Source organism: Homo sapiens, chromosome 12, assembly GCF_000001405.40.
Source record: "Homo sapiens chromosome 12, GRCh38.p14 Primary Assembly".
NCBI classification, from domain to species: Eukaryota; Metazoa; Chordata; class Mammalia; order Primates; family Hominidae; genus Homo; species Homo sapiens.
The window spans coordinates 47199941-47219274 of NC_000012.12; the positions used below are offsets into that span (position 1 = coordinate 47199941).

Below are 19334 nucleotides of genomic sequence, written 5' to 3' on the forward strand. Positions count from 1 at the left end.
AGACAGGGAGAAAATATTTGCAAATATATCTGATTAAGAAGTATTATCCAAAATGTCAGCCTGGGCAACATGGTGAAACCACATCACTACAATACAAAAAAATATGAAAATTAGCCAGGTATGGTGGCACAAGCCTATAGTCCCAGCTACTCAGGAGGCTGAGGTGGGAGGATGGCTTGAACCCTGGGAGGTTGTAGTGAACCAAGTTCACACCACTGCACTCCAGCCTGGGCTATAAAGACAGATCTTGCCTCAAAAAAAAAAAAATTCTATCCAAAATATGTAAAGTGTTAATATTCAACAGTATGAAAGCAAACAACCCAAGTAAAAACACGGGCAAAAGACCTGAATAGACACCGCACCAAAAGAAGACATACAGATGGCAAATAAGCACATGGAAAAATGCTCAATACCATATATCATTAGGGAATTACGAACTAAAACAATGAGATACTATTACACCCCTATTAGAGTGGTTAGAAAATCAGAACACTGACAACACCAAATGCTGGTGAGGATGTGGAGCAACAAGAATTTTCATTTGTTGCTGGTAGGAATGCAAAATGCCACAGCCACTTCACAAGGCAGATTGGCAGCTTTTACAAAGTTAAACATAGTCTTAACATAGAATCCAGCAATCGTACTCCCATTTACCCAAGTGAGTTGGCATTTATCCAAATGAGCTAAAGACTTATGACCACCCCAAATCCTGCATTTGAATGTTTGTAGCAGCTCTATCATAATTTCCAAAACTTGGCAGCAAATGCCCTCACCAAATGCCTTGCTGATATTAGTGCAGTGTGCCTACAGAATTCCACTGCTCTGCTGGACCAGTAACGCTAGGCCATGTCAGTTCAGATCACTGCAGAGTAAGTGGAAAAAATAATAATGAGACTTAAACAATAACAGACATATGCGATGTGGATTAAAAGACACAGTTGTTCATTTAAATTCTGTTTCCCCAGTGTTCTAAAAAACAATATAGACATTTGTTTGAAGTTATTTGAAAGGCTTTTAAAAAGTTTCAGATAGTGTGGTTATTGATACTGTTGTACCTGAGTGAGTTAGAGAAAACGCCACACTTTGAGACGAGTTAAGAGTCCCTTTATTTAGCCGGCGGCCAAGAGACGGCTAACGCTCCAAATTCTCTCGGCCCCGAAGAAGGGGCTAGATTTTCTTTTATACTTTCGTTTAGAAAAGGGGAGGGGGGGAGTCTAGTTAAAAGAATTTTACAGAAATAAAGTAGGCAAAAAGTTAAAAGGATAAATGGTTACAGGAAAGTAAACGGTTCCAGGTGCAGGGGCTTTCAGTCTATTACAAGGTGATAGACTCGGGGCTTTGGGCGTTATCAATCAGACGAATTCCTTGGAATTGCGAATATAGCTTGCCACAGTTTCATATCAGTTAATTGCATTCTTGGATGTGCTGGGAGTCAGCTTGCACAAGTTAAGTCCTTGAGGAAGGGGCTGCCAGTGAAAGAGCCAAGATGGAGTCTGTCTGGCTCTCTTAGCTAAGGGAGAGTCAATTCAGGTGGAAGCAAGGCTAGGTGATTAAAGGAAAAGGGAGATTCTAAAAACAGGGTTAGTAAAAACAAGGTTGGGCGTTACAATACTGCCCAGCAGTATTTTATTGTTATTCCTTAACAAAGGAAGAAATTTTTTTTTCTTTTTTTTTTTAAGACAAGGTCTCACTGTATCATTCAGGCTGGAATGCAATGGTGCGATCTTGGCTCGCTGCAGCCTCAACCTCCCGGGCTTAGGTGATCCTCCCACCTCAGCCTCCTGAATAGCTGAGACTACAGGTGTGCACAACCACACAGAGCTAATTTTTTGTATTTTTGTAGAGATGGGGGTCTCACCATGTTGCCCAGGCTGGTCTTGAACTCCTGAGCTCAAGTGTTCTGCCCACCTCGGCCTCTCGAAGTGCTGGAATTACAGGCATGAGCCAATGCACCAGGCCTGGAAGCAAATATTTTTAAGTTTGTCTTTGAGGAGTGGTATGTGTAAACCTGAGCATCTATCTGAAAACAGGCCACTAAGCTCTGCCCAATTATGAAGAAATATTTAAAGCCATTTAGATCAAGTACTATATTAGTTAGTATATTGATGTTACAAATATACAGTTATCTATATTCATTGTAAGCACCACAAATAAAATATAAATATCACCTAGAGGATACTTATGAAGCATTCAGGCTTCGAGAACCTGATTCTAATGTGCTACTAAGATAATGAGAATTCATTAAGAGTTATTTGCACATAATAGAAGGGTTAATATTTGCAATGACAGGGAGTTGATATTCAATAGAACATTCTAAGCTTCCATTCCTGGATTGGTTAAAAGTCTGGAAAATTATGTCAAAATTTGCCCATCAAAAGATGATACCGCATTGCAGAAGCACATGAGCTTCCAGGTTATGCCAGACTGGATGTTGCCTGGGAAACCATTACTGGCTTTTGCTACAGCTAGAAGAGAAAGTCTGTTCCTAAGGCGAAGATAGTTTCAGAACTTTGTATCTCTAGTTCTTTCATAGCTTCTGCAGTCCTCACTGCTCACATGTCTTCTACCCACAGCCCCAGTTTGATCTGATTCTATGTGGTCCCTGATTCCCAGATATTTGCCTGAATTTGACTCCTTCACGTCTAGACATTAGTAAAAAAAAAAAAAAAAAAAAAAAAAGAAAAAAGAAAAAAAATTGCAACGCTGCAAAACTGTTTGGTTTTACCTATGCAGTAACTTTTTATTTGAGGAAATGTTTAAAAATCAGGATACAGCTCATAAAAATATATATTTACAGTTTTTTTATTTTTGAAAAATTGGAATTTTAGCAAGTTAAAGCCATATTCCCTCATGAAGTAATCTACTAGAGCAGAGTGGCCACTGTGCTCTTAAATGACACATGTGGTCTCCAGTTTGCCAGAATCCTCACTAATCCCAATTGTTCCCAATACTGAGGCTATTAATTTTCATTTACCACTATACTTTCACCTCTGTATATTCTTTATGGTAAAGAATTACTTCTCTTTTCTTTCTTTTTTTTTTTTTTCCTGAGACAGTCTGGCTCTGTTGCCCAGGCTGGAGTGAAGTGGCATGATCTCAGCTCACTGCAACCTCTGTCTCTTAGATTCAAAAGATTCTCCTGCCTCAGCCCCCCAAGTAACTGGGACTACAGGCAGCCGCCACCATGCCCGGCTAATTTTTGTATTTTTAGTAGAGATGGAGTTTCACCATGTTGGCCAGGCTGGTCTCAAACTCCTGACCTCAGATGATCCACCTGCCTCGGCCTCCCAAAGTGCTGGGATTACAGGCATGAGCCACCGTGCCCAGCCTTCTCTTTTCTTTTTTTAATTTTTTAAAATTTTTTATTTCCAACTTTTAAGTTTAGGGGTACATGTGCAGGTTGTGCAGTTTCGTTACATAGGTAAACATGTGCCATTGTCATTGGCTGCACAGATCATCCCATCACCCAGGTATTAAGCCCAGCATCCACTAGCAATTCTTCCTGATTCTCTCCCTCCTCCCAACTCTCACCCTCCGACAGGCCCTAGTGTGTGTTGTTCCCTACCCTTGGTGTCCATGTGTTCTTAACATTTAGCTCCCACTTATAAGTGAGAACATGCAATATTTGGTTTTCTGTTCCTGCATTAGTTTGCTAAGAATAATGGCTTCCAACTCCATCTCTGTCCCTGCAAAAGACATGATCTCATTCCTTTTATGGCTGCATAGTATTCTGCAGTGTATATGAACCACATTTTCATTATCCAGTCTATTACTGATGGGCATTTAGGTTGATTTCATTTATTGCTGTTGCTACTAGTGCTCCAATGGACATACATATGCATGTGTCTTTATAACAAAATGATTTATATTCCTTTGGGTATATACCCGGTAATGGGATTGCTGGGTCTAATGGTATTTCTGCCTCTAGGTCTTTGAGGAATTGCCACACTGTCAATTGCCACAAGTTCAAATGGTTGAACTAATTTATATGCCCACCAACAGTGTAAAAGCATTCTTTTGTGTAAAAGCATTCTTTTTCCCCACAACCTCGCCAGCATCTGTTGTTTTTTGACTTTTTAAAAGTAGCCTCCGCCTCCCAGGCTCAAACGATCCTCTACCTCAGCCTCCCAAGTAGCTGGGACTACAGGCATGTGCCATCATGCCTGGCTAATTTTTGTATTTTTAGTAGAGACAGGGTTTCATTCGCTATGTTGGTCAAGCTGGTCTCGAACTCCTGATCTTAAATGATCTGCCCGCTTCGGCATCCCAAAGTGCTGGGATTACAAGTGTGAGCCACCACGCCCAACCCCCATATGAATTTAAAATTTTTTTTTTCTAATTATGTGAAGAATGTCAATGGTAGTTTAATGGGAATAGCATTGAATCTATAAATTGCTTTGGGCAGTATGGTCATTTTCATGATATTGATTCTTCCTATCCATGAGCATGGAATGCTTTTCCATTTGTTTATGTCCTCTCTGATTTCTTTGAGCAGTGGTTTGTAGTTCTCCTTGAAGAGGTCCTTCACTTCCTGATACTCTTCCATGTTTAATATGCAAAGTGAATCTATATACAAAGAACAAACCCTGCTCATTTATTCATTTGTATCTCATGTCTGGTCCCTACAGCCATTTAACTTTGCAACTCCTGGTCTCACTCACAGATCTCTGGGTGTTCTTGAAGTGTGTATTATGCTGTTAATTTACTCCCAGGGCTACCTTGCACTTTGTTTCCTTAATCCTCCACTGCCTACAGACCAGGGGAGGCAGGTCATGCATCTAAAAGTCAAGGTTCTGGGTGGCTCTTAATTGCTCCTCTGAATTTGCCTTATTGTCTACAGATGGGCCATAACATTTATTTCTAATTTAGCAATAAATACTATATACTTAGTGACTCCTAGTATAAAAGAATCTGGATACTCTAGTTCAGTTGCCTCCGTAATCATTTAATTTTCCTTGTAATTGAGGTTATATGTAAATACTGTAACCATAAACTAATGTAGCCAATAGTGTAACCACCTAACAGGTTCTCCTTGCCCACTGCCTAGAGAGAGCCAGTTTATTAAGACAGGGGAATTGCAACAGAGAAAGTGTAACTCGTGCAGAGCCACAGTATGGGAGACTGGAGTTTTATTATTACTCAAATCAGCCTCTCCAGAGTTCAGGGATCAGAGTTTTTAAGGATAATTTGATGGGTAGGGGGTTGGAAAGTGGGGCGTGCTGATAGATCAGGTCAGAGATGAAATCATAAAAAGTCTAAGTTGTCCTCTTGCACTGAATCAATTCCTGGATGGAGGCTACAAGATCAGATGAGCCAGTTTATCGATCTGGGTGGTACCAGCTGATCCATGGAGTACAGGGTCTACAAAATACCTCAAGCACTGATCTTAGGTTTTATTATAGTGACGTTATCCCCAGGAGCAATTTGGAAAGGTTCAGAATCCTGCAGCCTCCAGCTGCATGACTCCTAAACCATAATTTATAATCTGGTACCTAAGGTGGTAGTCTTGCAAAGACAGTGTAGTCTTCAGGTAGGAAGGTGGTTTGTTTTGGCAAAGGGCTGTTACCGTCTTTGTTTCAAAGTTATACTATAAACTAAGTTCCTGCCAAAGTTAGTTCAGCCTATACCCAGGAATGGTGTAACAGCTTGGAAATTAGAAGCAAGGTGGAGTCAGTTAGGTCAGATTTCTTTCACTGACATAATTTTCTTAGTTGTAATTTTTGCAAAGTCAGTTTCAATAGGTTTTTATGAATAGGAGGAAAGAAAGAGAGGGAAAGAGGGAGAAGAGGAGGGAGGAAAAGAGGGAGAGAGAGAGGAAGGAAGGAAGGAAGGAAAAAAAAGGGGCAATAACCATGTAACCGCCTAAGGGGTTCACCTTGCCCACTGCGTAGACAGAGCCAATTCACCAAAATAAGGGAATTGGAATAGAGAAAGAGTAATTCACGCAGAGCCAACTGTGCAGGAGACCAGGGTTTTATTATTACTCAAATCAGTCTCCCCCAGCGTTTGGAGAGCAGAGTTTTTAAGGACAATTTGGTGGGTTGGGGGAAGCCAGTGAGCCAGGAGTGCTGATTGGTTAGGGATGAAATCACAAGGAGTCGAAGCTGTCTTCTTGCGCTGAGTCAGTTCCTGGGTGGAGGGCACAAGATCAGATGAACCAGTTTACCGATCTGGATGGTGTCAGCTGATCCATCACATGCAGGGTCTGCAAAATATCTCAAGCATTGATCTTGGGAGCAGTTTAGGGAGGGTCAGAATCTTGGAGACTCCAGCTGCATGACTCCTATCCATAATTTCTAATCTTGTGGCTCATGTTAGTCCTACAAAGGCCATCTAGTCCCCAGACAAGAAGGAGGTCTGCTTTGGCAAAGGGCTGTTATCATCTTTGTTTCAAACTATAAACTAAATTTCTCCCAAAGTTAGTTCAGCCTATGCCCAGGAATGAACAAGGACAGCTTGGAGGTTAGAGGCAAGATAGCTAGCGTTGGTTAAGTTAGATCTCTTTCACCGTCTCAGTCATAATTTTGCAAAGGCAGTTTCAACCATAGTCAGCCCTCAGTAAGTACTAACCATAATATTGTCAATGATTGGCACCAGGCTTGGTGTGTTTTGCTCCACCTCCTGCCTCCTTGGTAATTCCTCAGCCTGCTGGGGACAAGGCAAAAGTCTTTTTTCAGTTTCTCTTTATATGAATTGATCATTTTTCAACTGCTAGGTTTTCTTTGGGGGACTGAGGCAGAAGGATCACTTGAGGCCAGGAGTTCAAGACCAGCCTGGTCAATATAGCGAAACCTCATCTCTACCCCGCCCCCGCAACAAAAAAAAAATCCAAGGTTTTTTTAAGGACCTTGTATGTTAAAAATGAAAGTGAAGAAGTAGATCTGACGGTAGTTACAGACACTACCCTGTTTCTACCTTCCACTCTGTGCTCTCAAATCCCAACATCACCAACATAAATAAATGGTGATTAGATGCTTTAGCCAGCATTTGCTCTTGCCTTAGGTAAATGGCTATTCGAATGGCCAGGGACTTTGACATACTCATCCAACTGAAGCTGAACTCAACTTGGCAGGCTCTGCCCAGGTAGAAGGAGCTTTGAATGGGATTTTAGCAAACAATCAGATGTTACCAAAATCTTATTAGGAGAACAGCATGTAGAGTTACCCTGTGGTCTCTAGCTCAGGGCCTTGAGGGAATATCCTTTCAGAGCCTAGATGGAGCCCCATGGTCAATGCACCAAGAAAATAAAGGACTTTAGCCTGAAGGTGACAGATGGAGGACTAAATTACTTTAAACTTTTGTCCAAAATACATAAACATATTGCTAGAATAATATCAGTGTTGGTTTGAATAGCCTGTTGGATTGGTTGAGATGAAGTAAGGAGCTGGCAGCTGGGCTCATCTGGTAGCACAGATAAGAACCTAATTAGCTCTATGAAAGAGGAAGCCCTGTGCCACCTCCCCAGAGCTGTGTGAGGCCCAGGGGCACACCTTCCAGCTGCCTGAGGCTGCTGCCTCCTCCCAGTCCCACTGAGGAAAGGAAGTGCTCTTTCTCTCCTGATAGGACAAGGATGACCCAGCAGATGGGCACGTGGGCAGGCAGAGCTCTCAACTACCTTTTCTCTTAGCATGGGTGACAGTGTGTATGACCACAGACCTCCCTTCCTTCCTCTTTGCTTTTATGGACCAAGCGATGGAAGGAAATGACAATAAGGAAATCTTCCTTACACAAATATGTAAGTATGCATTCCTCTTCATCAGACACAATCACAACTTAAAGAACTTGCATCAGTCTTGTGAGCTGGCCCCTAACCCCTGACTATAATCTATTATTCTTAAGATACCTACTGAGAGAACTTATTCAGATAAAACATTTTAGGGCTTTTTGGAGCTTTTCTATTTAAAGAATAACAAGCTCCTTCTCTAGTTTTCTTTAACAAACTAAGCATATGACAGGCAGAGGTTACAGATTTTTCATAGCTTACTTCCTCCTGAAATTTAAGTCTGTGGTTAATCAAGCTCTGTGAATGACAGTTTCTCCCTCGAACTTTGTGGGCTAACACAGCTCTCTGAACACCCATAATTTGTTGGGTTTTTTTTTTCTTTTTTTCCTGAGCAGTGTAAACAATTGTAAAGCTTTAAATAAATAAGCTATAAGAAGTTTTCCCAGGGTCTTGATTCTGTGACTCCACCAGGTGTCAAGGTCTCTGAACCGGCTGCCCTTAGACACGTGCCTGAACTCAAAGCAGTCATACTGTTAAGGGATAGACTTGGTGCTGTAAACTTAGCCATTTTGGTTTTTGTTTGTTTGTTTGTTTTCAGACAGGGTCTCATCTCCCAGGCTGGAGTGCAGTGGCACGATCATAGCTCACTGCAGACTTGACTTTCTGGGCTCAGGTGATCCTCCCACCTCAGCCTCCTGAGTAGCTGAGTATAGCACGCACCACCACCCTCAGCTAATTTTTTATTTTTATTTTTTTGAGACGGAGTCTCACTCTGTCACTCAGGCTCTAGAGTGCAGTATCGCGATCTCGGCTCACTGCAACCTCTACCTCCCAGGTTCAAGCAGTCCTGCCTCAGCGTCCCGAGTAACTGGGACTACAGGCGTATTTTTAATAGAGACAGGGTTTCTCCATGTTAGCCAGGCTGGTCTCGAACTCCTGACCTCAAGTGATGCACCCACCTTGGCCTCCCAAAGTACTGGGATTATAGGCATGAGTCACCCTGCCCAGGCTATTTTTATTTTTGTATAGATAGGGTCTCACTATGTTGCCTAGACTGGTTTCAAACTCCTGGGCTCAAGCGATCCTTCCACCTTGGGCTCCTAAACTGCTGGGTTTACAGGCGTGAGGCTGTTTTGATTTCACTTGTAGGGAACAAAGACTGACACTGGCCGGGTGCAGTGGTTCATGTCTATAATCCCAACATTCTGAGAGGCTGAGGCAGGCAGATTGCTTGAGCCCAGGAGTTCAAGACCAGCCTGGTCAACATAGTGAGACCCTGTATCTACCAAAAATAACTTAACAACAACAAAAACAAATGCCCTGCTTGACTTTGTCACAGTGTTTTAATTTTCATTTACATCACCCTTCTCTATGTGGCACTGTGCGTGTGGCATCTATGCTGCTCAGGACACAGTGAGGTGTCTGGTTGTCAGGGTGAGCAAAGACCAGGGCAGGCAGAGGGACCTCAGATTCCGGCTTCACTGCTTAGTGTCAGCTGATTGGCTTGAGGCAGAACCAGCCCTCCAGGAAGTCCTTTCCCTTTTCTGATATTCCTCATGGAGACAGTAAGAGCTACCCTGCAGGGTGGTTTTAAAGGTAACAATAGGCTGGGCTCACCTGTAATCCCAAAGGTGGGAGGATCACCTGAGGTAAGGTGTTCGAGACCAGCCTGGCCAACGGGGCATGGTGGCACATGCCTGTAATCCCGGCTACTCGGGAGGCTGAGGCAGGAGAATCACTTGAACCAGGGAGGCGGAGTTTGCCGTGAGCCAAGATCATGCCATCGCACTCCAGCCTGGGCAACAGAGCAAGATTTCGTCTCAAAAAAAAAGGTAATAATAATGAATACATGAATATGTAACACCTGGATTAAAGTAGACTCTCAATAAATGGTAGCAATAATAATTATTGTTGATTTTGTGAAAAGAGTTGATACACTTTAAATGCTTGGAATAGTATACTCAGTAGGTGTTCATTGTTATTGAATACTGTTATCAAAGGGAATCCAGATGCCTTATCAATTTGGGATCTTCAGGCTTTATCCCAGTAATGCTATGGATTTGGCTAATGTGTTTGATTAAGGCAGAAAGGCTGGTATCTTCAGAAAAATTTTATGTGATTTAGCAGGTTAAATTCAACCTATGAAGGGAAGTAAAATTATAAGATCTGAGTCTTAGAAAGAGCAAGACTGTAGTTTAGAGAACGGATTGGAAGAAGATGAACTTGGAAGCCACAGCACCACCACAGCAGGATTCTAGATTTGAACTAAAGCAGAGGCTATAGGAAGAGAAGTAGACTGATCAGAGACTAGCTTTGGAGATAGAAGCTACTCTTCTTGTGGCAGATGAAGAGGAAGGAGTCACAGATGATCTTGAGATTTCTGTCTTGGGGTAACCGGGTGGATATTGATTTCATTTACTGAGAGGAGGAACAGTTTTGGAAAATAACATGATTCGTTTAGAATTTATTTTAAATTGGAACCTTGCGTGGTCAGTTTATTCAACCAGAAACAAAGACATTTCTTTACTGTTAGCTATTTTTGTCATGTATTTTAAAACTATGCCATAATTTAACCAACATATATCACTAAGAATAAATGCATAGGTAGAAAATAACCACAATCAGAGTCTTCTGTCATGATACCAAAATATAAAGTGGCTGGGGCCACAGTTATGTAACACTTAGAAATCATGACTAACAAAATAGAATATTGACATATGATTCAAAGACTTACAATTACAGATTAATTAAACTACACCAGATTCAGATAAATGAAAGTAATGTCTGATTCTCCATCTTCATTTATTTAAATGTATTTCAGGCCGGGCTTGGTGGCTCATGCCTGTAATCCCAGCACTCTGAGAGGCTGAAGCAGGTAGATCACCTGAGGTCAGGAGTTCAAGACCAGCTTAGCCAACATGGTGAAACCCTGCCTCTACTAAAAATACAAAATTGGCTGGGCATGGTGGTGCATACCTGTAATCCCAGCTACTTGGGAGACTGAGGCACGAGAACCGCTTGAACCCAGGAGGTGGAGGCTGCAGTGAGCCAAGATCATGCCATTGCACTCCAGCCTGGGTAACTGAGCAACACTCTGTCTGAAAAAAGTAATAATAATAAATAAATATATTTCAGAGACACAACAACAAACTATGTTAAGGAAAAGAGCACCCTAAAAGAAAAAGGAAGGTCAAAAAAAGTAAGCTGTAACAATATTTTTGTAAGTGATAATTGGGAAAAATACTTAAAAGCCTACTATTTTACCGGTAAAATGGAATAGTGATATACGATTAATTTATAAAACAAATGATGCAATATGGGCCAATCGTATATGCAAAGCAAATATTCATCATAAAAGAATATGACTAGAAGCTACTTTTCATGGCGCTATTTTCATTTTCATGTTTTCAGTAGAATTTTAAAAATCCCTTTTCAGTAATAGAAGTGATACTCTAACATAAAGCCATAAATGCACTCCCAACATTGAATTCTAGTTATCTGCTTCTGTGTTTTTCCCTCCCTGCACTGTGAGCTACAGAACATAGAGAAGACCATATCCTACTCAACCTCATATCTCAGGTGCTAAGCACTGTGCCTGACCGAAGGAGCACTCGATGGATGTTTATCTAATAAAGTAAGAAAGGAAGAACAGCACACATCCAAAAATATTAAGCTGTTTCTATCTTCCTTGACAAAACAACCTTATGGCCAGGTGCGGTGACTCACGCCTGTAATCCCAGCACTTTGGGAGGCTGAGGCATGTGGATCACTTGAGGCCAGGAGTTCAAGACCAGCCTGGCCAACATGGTGAAACCCCAACTCTACTTTAAAAAAAAAAAAAGGAGCCAGGTGTAGTGGCACATGGCTATAATCCCAGCTACTCAGGAGGCTGAGGCAGGAGAACTGCTTGAACCTGGGAGGCAGAGGTTGCAATGAGCCAAGATCGCACCACTGCACTCTACTATGGGCAACAGAGTGAGACTCTGTCTCAAAAAAAAAAAAAAAAAAAAAAAACTGGGCGCAGTGGCTCAGGCCTGTAATTCCAGCACTTTGGGAGGCTGAGGCGGGTGGATCACTTGAGCCCAGAAGTTCAAAGCCAGCCTGGGCAACAAGGTAAAACCCAATCTCTCGGCTGGGCACGGTGGCTCACGCCTGTAATCCCAGCACTTTGGGAGGCCGAGGCGGGCGGATCACGAGGTCAGGAGATCGAGACCATCCCGGCTAAAACGGTGAAACCCCGTCTCTACTAAAAATACAAAAAATTAGCCGGGCGTAGTGGCGGGCGCCTGTAGTCCCAGCTACTTGGGAGGCTGAGGCAGGAGAATGGCGTGAACCCGGGAGGCGGAGCTTGCAGTGAGCCGAGATCGTGCCACTGTACTCCAGCCTGGGAGACAGAGCGAGACTCCGTCTCAAAAAAAAAAAAAAAAAAAACCCAATCTCTACCAAAAATACAAAAAACTAGCAGGGCATGGTGGCTCACTCCTGTGGTCCCAGCTACTGGGGGTAGGTGGGAGACTGAGGTGTGAGGATCACTTGAGCCCGGAGGTGGAGGTTTCAGTGAGCTGAGATCATGCCACTGCACTCCAGCATAGGTGACAGAGCAAGAGACTCTGTCTCAAAAAACAAAAAGAAAAAAGGAGAGAGGACCGGAATTGGAAAACTAAGCCTGTGGTTTAAAGGTAAGGGACATTGCTAAATAATGTAAGACCCAGTTCTTGCAGGGCATTAAATTATTCTCTGTAAAAAGAGCTTACAGCCTTAGAGAAAAAAATTCATGAACTATAGCTCTGGAACTATGAGTCCAGGACCCAGGAAGCCTGGTCTTTAGTCCAAGCTCAGTAGTTAACCTGTGTGATTCAGACAGTTGCTCAATCTCCCCGAGCTTCAACTTGACCTAACGATGATTTCTGTCATCTCCCCTCCACTTGCGCAGTCTATTCCTGCAGTGATGGTGTCATACCAGCCCATGGAACAGTGCCCATCAAACAAGGTACTTGTCAGTATTTACGTTTTTTTCCAGTGGTTAGTCATTTAAAGAATTATTTTGCATTACTAAAGCATGGATGCATGTATACTAATCCCTGGAACAAAAATGAGCATTTACTAAGTACCAAGCAGTCTGCTTAGCACTTTGCAGGTTTAAACTTCACAACTGGAAGTGGGCCAGAGGAGTTGAGTACCTTTCCCAAAGTCACACAGCTTGTGGATTATTAATTTGGGACTCTGAACTCAGGCTTTTCTGCCTGCAAAGGCCATGTTCTGAACCACTAGGCTGCATTGGAACAGAATACAGAACTTGCATAAAACATAAGAATTCTAAGAATTTTGTGGAAATGTTTAAGAAATCCTGACAGAATGGGATCTTTTATAAATTCACATTTCTCATTCCATCCATCCTGAATAGTGAAATCACTGATTTGGCTTTTCTCAATCTGTAACATCCCAAATCCCAATAAGTATTGCCTTGTTCATCAACACAAAGTTTGCACATACTTCGTGCAAAATTTAGTTCTGTTACTAAATCGAACTCATGAGAAGTTTTAATCCAGAATCTCAAAGTTCCTAATATGTTATCAGAGAAGATTTCGTACCCTAATAGAAACAAATTATTCATTATTCATATGTGCTTGAAAGTACTAATTGTGAGTGCTTTGAAGAGAAATTATCAAAAATATGTGGACTGTTTAAGTCAGACAACCAAAGAAAAAAACATAGTTTTGTGATTTGCCAAATTTGGCCCATTCGTTTAAGGCAGCCCAGGAATAGATTTAAACACATACACACACGAGCCAGCTGAAATTAATGTATATATATGTATATATTTAATGGGCTGATTTCTGGCCCTCTTATAGGATTCCCAAGAAGATAAGAAAAATAATTGCGTTCCTTAAGATAGAAAATGTGGATAAAATGGTAATGGCTTGCATAAAGCAAAGTTTAAATTTCTCTGTGGCTATAACTACTAATGAGCTGCTAATAGTAAAGGATATCTGTGTGTGAAAGCACATTCACAGGGTAAAACATTATATGTGCATAAGTTGTCATTACTGTTTAAGAAAAAGCCAAGTTTGGTGGGTAAAAAATAAAAGATGGCTCACTGAGCTTTGAAACATGAGATAGGGCCAGAATAGCAATAGTAGCTGTCTACATAGAGCATAATAAGTTCTTGAAAGCAAGAAAATCAGTTGAAAATCTGTTGATCTCAACTTTATTTTAAGTTTAAAGAGTATAAGTGTGATTATCATTTGCATTATTACAGCTCTTCTGTTCTCTGGTCTTGGGATGATTACAGAGATTGTCCTTTTATTCTCACAGTGCACAGACTAGCTGAAATCTACAGAACTAGAAAGATTTGCAATTCATTTATAGAATTGCTAGAACTAAATAATGGCAGATTTTTCAAAGTTATGTAATAGACTACTCTGGATTATAAAATACTAAAGCTATCAGTTGGGTTCTGCCTTGATTCTATTAAATTTCCCGGTAATGACTGTACTAAAACTCATGGGGAACTGCAAGATAACTTTATTGATGGCCATAGAGGATGAAAACAATGCATAAGGTATGGAATTAATTTTAAGCCACACACTGAATAGACAGTGATGTAAAGTAAAATGATATTTTTCAAGGAAAGACAATTATGTCACATTATAATCCAGTTTACATAAATAGCATACTATTAAAAAAAGCTAAGTCTTCAGAGCATGTAATTCAGGACTGTTGTGAAACCTCTTACTCTTGTTGGTTAGTTATTTTGTGCTGTAAGGGAGGGAAAATGGCTTCCTCCCTACTTCTAGGTTCTTTGGCTGGGATACAAATTAAATTGACATAAAACAGATTAACAGGAGAAAAAAACATTTTTGGCCAGGCTCGGTGGCTCATGCCTGTGATCCCAGCACTTTGGGAAGCTGAGGTGGGAGGATCACTTGAGCCCACGAGTTCAAGACCAGCCTGGGCAACATATTGAGACCAAATCTCAATTCAAAAAAAAAGAAAAGAAAAGGAAAAAACATTTTTAATTATATGCACACACACTGGAATCCCCCAGGTAATAAAAGTTGTCTGAGAGCAGGACTCTTCCTGATACAGATACTTTGACTAATGTAGATTTCTTTTATAAATATAAATTTATTTTACAAAAGGACAGCTTTTCAGAGATACTCTTGTGTCTGCAGTTGCTCAGAATAATCAGCTCGAAATATGCCAAATAACTATATTTTGGGGTGGCATATTTTTTATTTTTGAGATGGAGTCTCGCTGTTGCCCAGGCTGAGGTGCAGTGGCGCAATCTCGGCTTGCTGCAACCTACGCCTCCTGGGTTGAAGCGATTCTCCTGCCTCAGCCTCCCAAGGACCTGGGATTACGGGAACCTGGGGGTGGTATATTCTGATCTTCTGTAGTCATGCACTGGGACCTTCTGTAGTCATGCATTTTCTCTCTCTCTTTTTTTTCTGATTCATTATTTCCTTTTCTTTTTCATCTTGGTATTTGTAGGGAAAGTGATATTCCTCTCCCCGAAATCATATTATTCCAGACAAAAGAAAACAAATGCCTACACTTATCTAATCAATCAGAAGACCATCTCCCCCACCCTTTTTTTTTTTTTAAAGATGGAGTCTTGCTCTTGTCACCCTGACTGGAGTGCAATGGGACGATTTTGGCTCACTGCAACCTCCGCCTCCTGGGTTCAAGCGATTCTCCTGCCTCAGCCCCCCGAGTAGCTGGGATTACAGGGGCCCACCACCACGCCCAGCTAATTTTTGTATTTTCAGTAGAGACGGAGTTGCACCATGTTGGCCAGGCTGGTCTCGAACTCCTGACCTCAGGTGATCCACCCGCCTCGGCCTCCCAAAGTGCTGGGATTACAGGCATGAGCCACAGCGCCAGACGAACCATCTCCCTTTTAAGCACGCTGTCCCCTTGAGTTACCTGCTGGTTTCAAGTGGAACACTAAGGGAGGAAGCAGAAAGTTCTTATCTTGCTCTGCCACATACTGGATCTAGCTGAGGCTGGGGCTCAGGCCTGTGGTTTCCTGTAGTGTGGACTGAGCCATTTTTCCATCAAGACGTCAGTGGAGAGATGAAGTGAAAGGATTTAAAAGCGGTTTGTGGCCTGCCATGGTGGCTCACCCCTATAATCCCAGCACTTTGGGAGGCCAAGGCGGGTGGATCACCTGAGGTAAGGAGTTCGAGACCAGACTGGCCAACATGGTGAAACACCATCTCTACTAAAAATACAAAATCAGCCGGGTGTGGTGGTGGGTGCATGTAGTCACAGCTACTCGGAGCCTGAAGCAGGAGAATCGCTTGAACCTGGGAGGCAGAGGTTGCAATGAGCCGAGACCATGCCACTGCACTCCAGCCTGGGCAACAAGACCAAAACTCCGTCTCAAAAAAAATAAATAAATAAAAATAAAAGCGGTTTGTAAACTGTAACACCTTGCACAGAAACACAAGATTACTACTATTAAATATTATTTAGAAAAGTAGAGTTCTTCTTACCATTTCCCTGTTTCTTTCTTCTCACTTCCTCCTTTCCCCTTCTGACCATCTTTTCAGCCGTGAACATACCACACCAGCAAGAACAATAAGAGCCAAGGGTCTGAATTGTTTAATCAAAGGAAGAGTCAAAATAAGCTACACCCAGATTACTGAGAAAGGTGAAATGAAAACAAGCTCAAAACCAAATTCCAGGAAGATGCTGTCTTTGTATTGACTTACCATTTCATGTTTTCACACATGTCAAAGTCTTGAAGCTTCGGTCATTAGTCTTCCGCTTCCTAAAGCAAGAAACTAAATGCTGACTTGTGTCGTTTGCCCCAGATGCCACCGGAAATGTCATCTTCTCCCCAGACGCTGGCTTGCAAGCACAGCAGCACCCAGAGGCTAACCTATTTCCCCTATAGCCCAAGCTCTGAGATCTCCCGTCTGGTCACAATGATCTACAGGAGAGGAAGAAAGCTATCTAGGGACGAGATCTAGAATCAACTGAGAGAGATGCTTAAAAATCACCAGTTACTTTAATGAGTAAGTACTTTTCAGTTTTTCCATTTTATCTGAAACTTTAAGTTGGCATTTCTGACCAGCCTTTCTTGAGACCATCATTTTTTGGGCACTTACTGTAGACAGGAATCAGCACCCTAGCCTCCTTCAGCCCACCCCATGTAACACTAAAGAGACAACTGGTGCTTGGCAATAACAAAAATATTAGTGATTGATAAACTTGTAAATTTATTAAAATGGACAGTGAAAGAAAACAGCCAATTTAGTTGTGAACTGGAGAAGGGACGTGAGGCATCTGTTGTCTGCAATCTTGTATGTTGTGGTTGACCACAAAGGCTTGGCATCAGGTTTTACTTCCAGCACTACTTCTTATAAAATGGATGACCTTGGGCAGATTACTCAATCTTTTAGCCTTAATTTTTAAAAGTATAAAATGGAGAAAATTAGAATATGTAGTCCAGGTGCGGTGGCCCACACCCGTAATCCAAGCACTTTGGAAGGCTGAGGCAGGTGGATTATTTGAGTCTAAGTTCAAGACCAGCCTGGACAACATGATGAAACCCTGTCTCTAAAAAAAACTATAAAAATTAGCCAGGCATGGTGGCACAGGCCTGTAGTCCCAGCTACTAGGGAGGCTGAAGTGGGAGGATTGATTGAGCCTGCAGAGTTGCTGCAGTGAGCCATGATTTCGCCACTGAATTCCAACTTGGGCAACAGAGTGAGACAAGAAAGAAACAGAGAGAGAGAGAGAGACAGAGAAAGAAGAAAAAAAAAGAAAGAAAGAAAGAAAGAAAAAGAAAGAAAGAGAAAGAAAGAAAGAAAGAAAGAAAGAAAGAAAGAAAGAAAGAAAGAAGAAAGAGAAAGAGAGAAAAGAAAAGGAAAGAAAGAAAGAAAATAATTTCTTAGGTTGTTTTTGTTTTTGTTTTTTTGTGATGGAGTCTCACTCTGCTGCTCAGGCTGGAGTGCAGTGGTGCTATCTCTGCTCACCGCAACCTCCGCCTCCCAAGTTCAAGCAATTCTTGTGCCTCAGCCTCCCAAGTAGCTGGGATTACAGGCACGCGACACCACTCCCAGCTAATTTTTATATTTTTACTAGAGACAGGGTTTCACCATGTTGGCCAGGCTGATCTTGAACTCCAGACCTCAGGTGATCCGACCGTCTTGGCCTCCCAAAGTGTTGGGATTACAGGCATGAGCTACCGCGCCCTTCTTAGAGTTCTTAAGAAGAATAAAGAGATAAACTGGTAAAACATGTAAATACTTTTTGGAGGGTATGCTAAATAATGCCACTAAATAATTAATGTTGCTAAATAATAAGTTAAATGCTTCATTTAACTGGAAATCTCCCTTAACCACTAAGCCCACTTTCCAGATATGCTAAGGTGGCTCAGAATAACAATAGCAGCGAACATCTGTAGAGTTTACACAGCATTTCATTTGATTTCCACAATTAACTCTAAGGTAGGCAGTGCAGAGCTGTTGACTTATTTTTGGAGCTGGAGGAGAAGAGAGAAGCGAGAGCTCGGCTGGACACGGCAGCAGGGAGAAAAACCCCTAGGTCCGTTGTTGGCACTGAAGTGGGGAAAACCATGGCCTGGGGAAAGGCCTAATGTGAGAAGTTAGTCGGTGTGCATAGGCAGTATGACATTCATTTCACCAGCACAAGATTCTTGTTCCTCAGCTTCCTTAGTCCCTGGACCTTGCTTGTCCTTTCTTCCGCTCCAAGCCGTAGAGCTTGAAACTGGCAAGTCCTCAGTTGCACTGCCAACAGGCAAAGCAGTGGGAACTCAAGTTTCCAGAATCCTCTACAACATAGTGTGAGTAAAAGCCAAGGCAGAGACAGTGTCTTGCTCTGTCATCCAGGCTGGAGCGCAGTGGTGCCATCACGACTCACTGCAGCCACAAACTCCTGGGTGCAAGGTATCCTTCCACCTCAGCCTCCTCCTGAGTAGCTGGGACTACAGACATGCGCCACCACATCCTGATCATTTTTAATTTTTTTTCTTTTTTTTTTTTTTTTTTAGAGACAGAGGTGTAGCTTTATTGCCCAGGGTGGGCTTGAACTCCTGGTCTCAAGCAATCGTCCCTCCTTGGCCTCCCAAAGTGTTGGGATTTCAGGTGTGAGCCACTCTACCTGGCTGAGACTTGCTCTCATTTTTAAATTCAAAAAATGTTTTCCATAGATCGGCCGCCTGTGGAAAAAGGTGACTCAGGCCTGTAATCCCAGCACTTTGGGAGGCCTAGGTGGGTGGATCACCTGAGGTCAGGAGTTCGAGACCAGCCTGGCCAACACGGTGAAACTCCGCCTCTACTAAAAATAGAACAATTATCTGGGCATGGTGGCAAATGCCTGTGATCCCAGCTATTCCGGAGACTGAGGCAGGAGAATCACTTTAGCCCATGAGACAGGGGATGTAGCGAGCCAAGATTGCACCACTGCACTCCAGCCTGGGCAACAGAGTGAGACTCTATCTCAAAAAACAAAAATAAAAAAGTTTCTTTTTCCATAGAAACACTATTACACATAGAATTTAAATACTACAAAAATGGTAACAATAATGATAGCAACAATAATAAAATAATGTCCATTTTTAAAACTCTTTTGGGTA

General features: G+C 42.1%; 1 protein-coding gene and 1 long non-coding RNA gene across 17 annotated transcripts in view; one reads left to right on the forward strand and one right to left on the reverse strand.

The window, feature by feature from the left end:
* PCED1B (PC-esterase domain containing 1B) overlaps positions 1-19334 on the forward strand; it is a 157040-nt gene that overhangs the window by 120320 nt on the left and 17386 nt on the right. For 8 of the 16 annotated variants that reach the window (XM_047429870.1, XM_047429868.1, XM_047429872.1 and 5 more), the window contains one exon: positions 16546-16749. The exons of 2 other annotated variants lie outside the window; for them this stretch is intronic. The gene's annotated coding sequence lies outside the window, so the exon portion shown is untranslated. Of the gene's footprint in view, positions 1-12656; positions 12714-16281; positions 16750-19334 lie in introns of all 16 variants that reach the window. 6 more of the 16 variants (XM_047429873.1, XM_017020207.2, XM_047429869.1 and 3 more) reach the window with 2 other exon arrangements.
* Positions 8480-16503, reverse strand: PCED1B-AS1 (PCED1B antisense RNA 1). The gene is made up of 3 exons (NR_026544.1): positions 16444-16503; positions 16225-16324; positions 8480-10821 (listed from the first exon to the last, which is right to left on the reverse strand). It is a non-coding gene; the product is annotated as a PCED1B antisense RNA 1 (long non-coding RNA).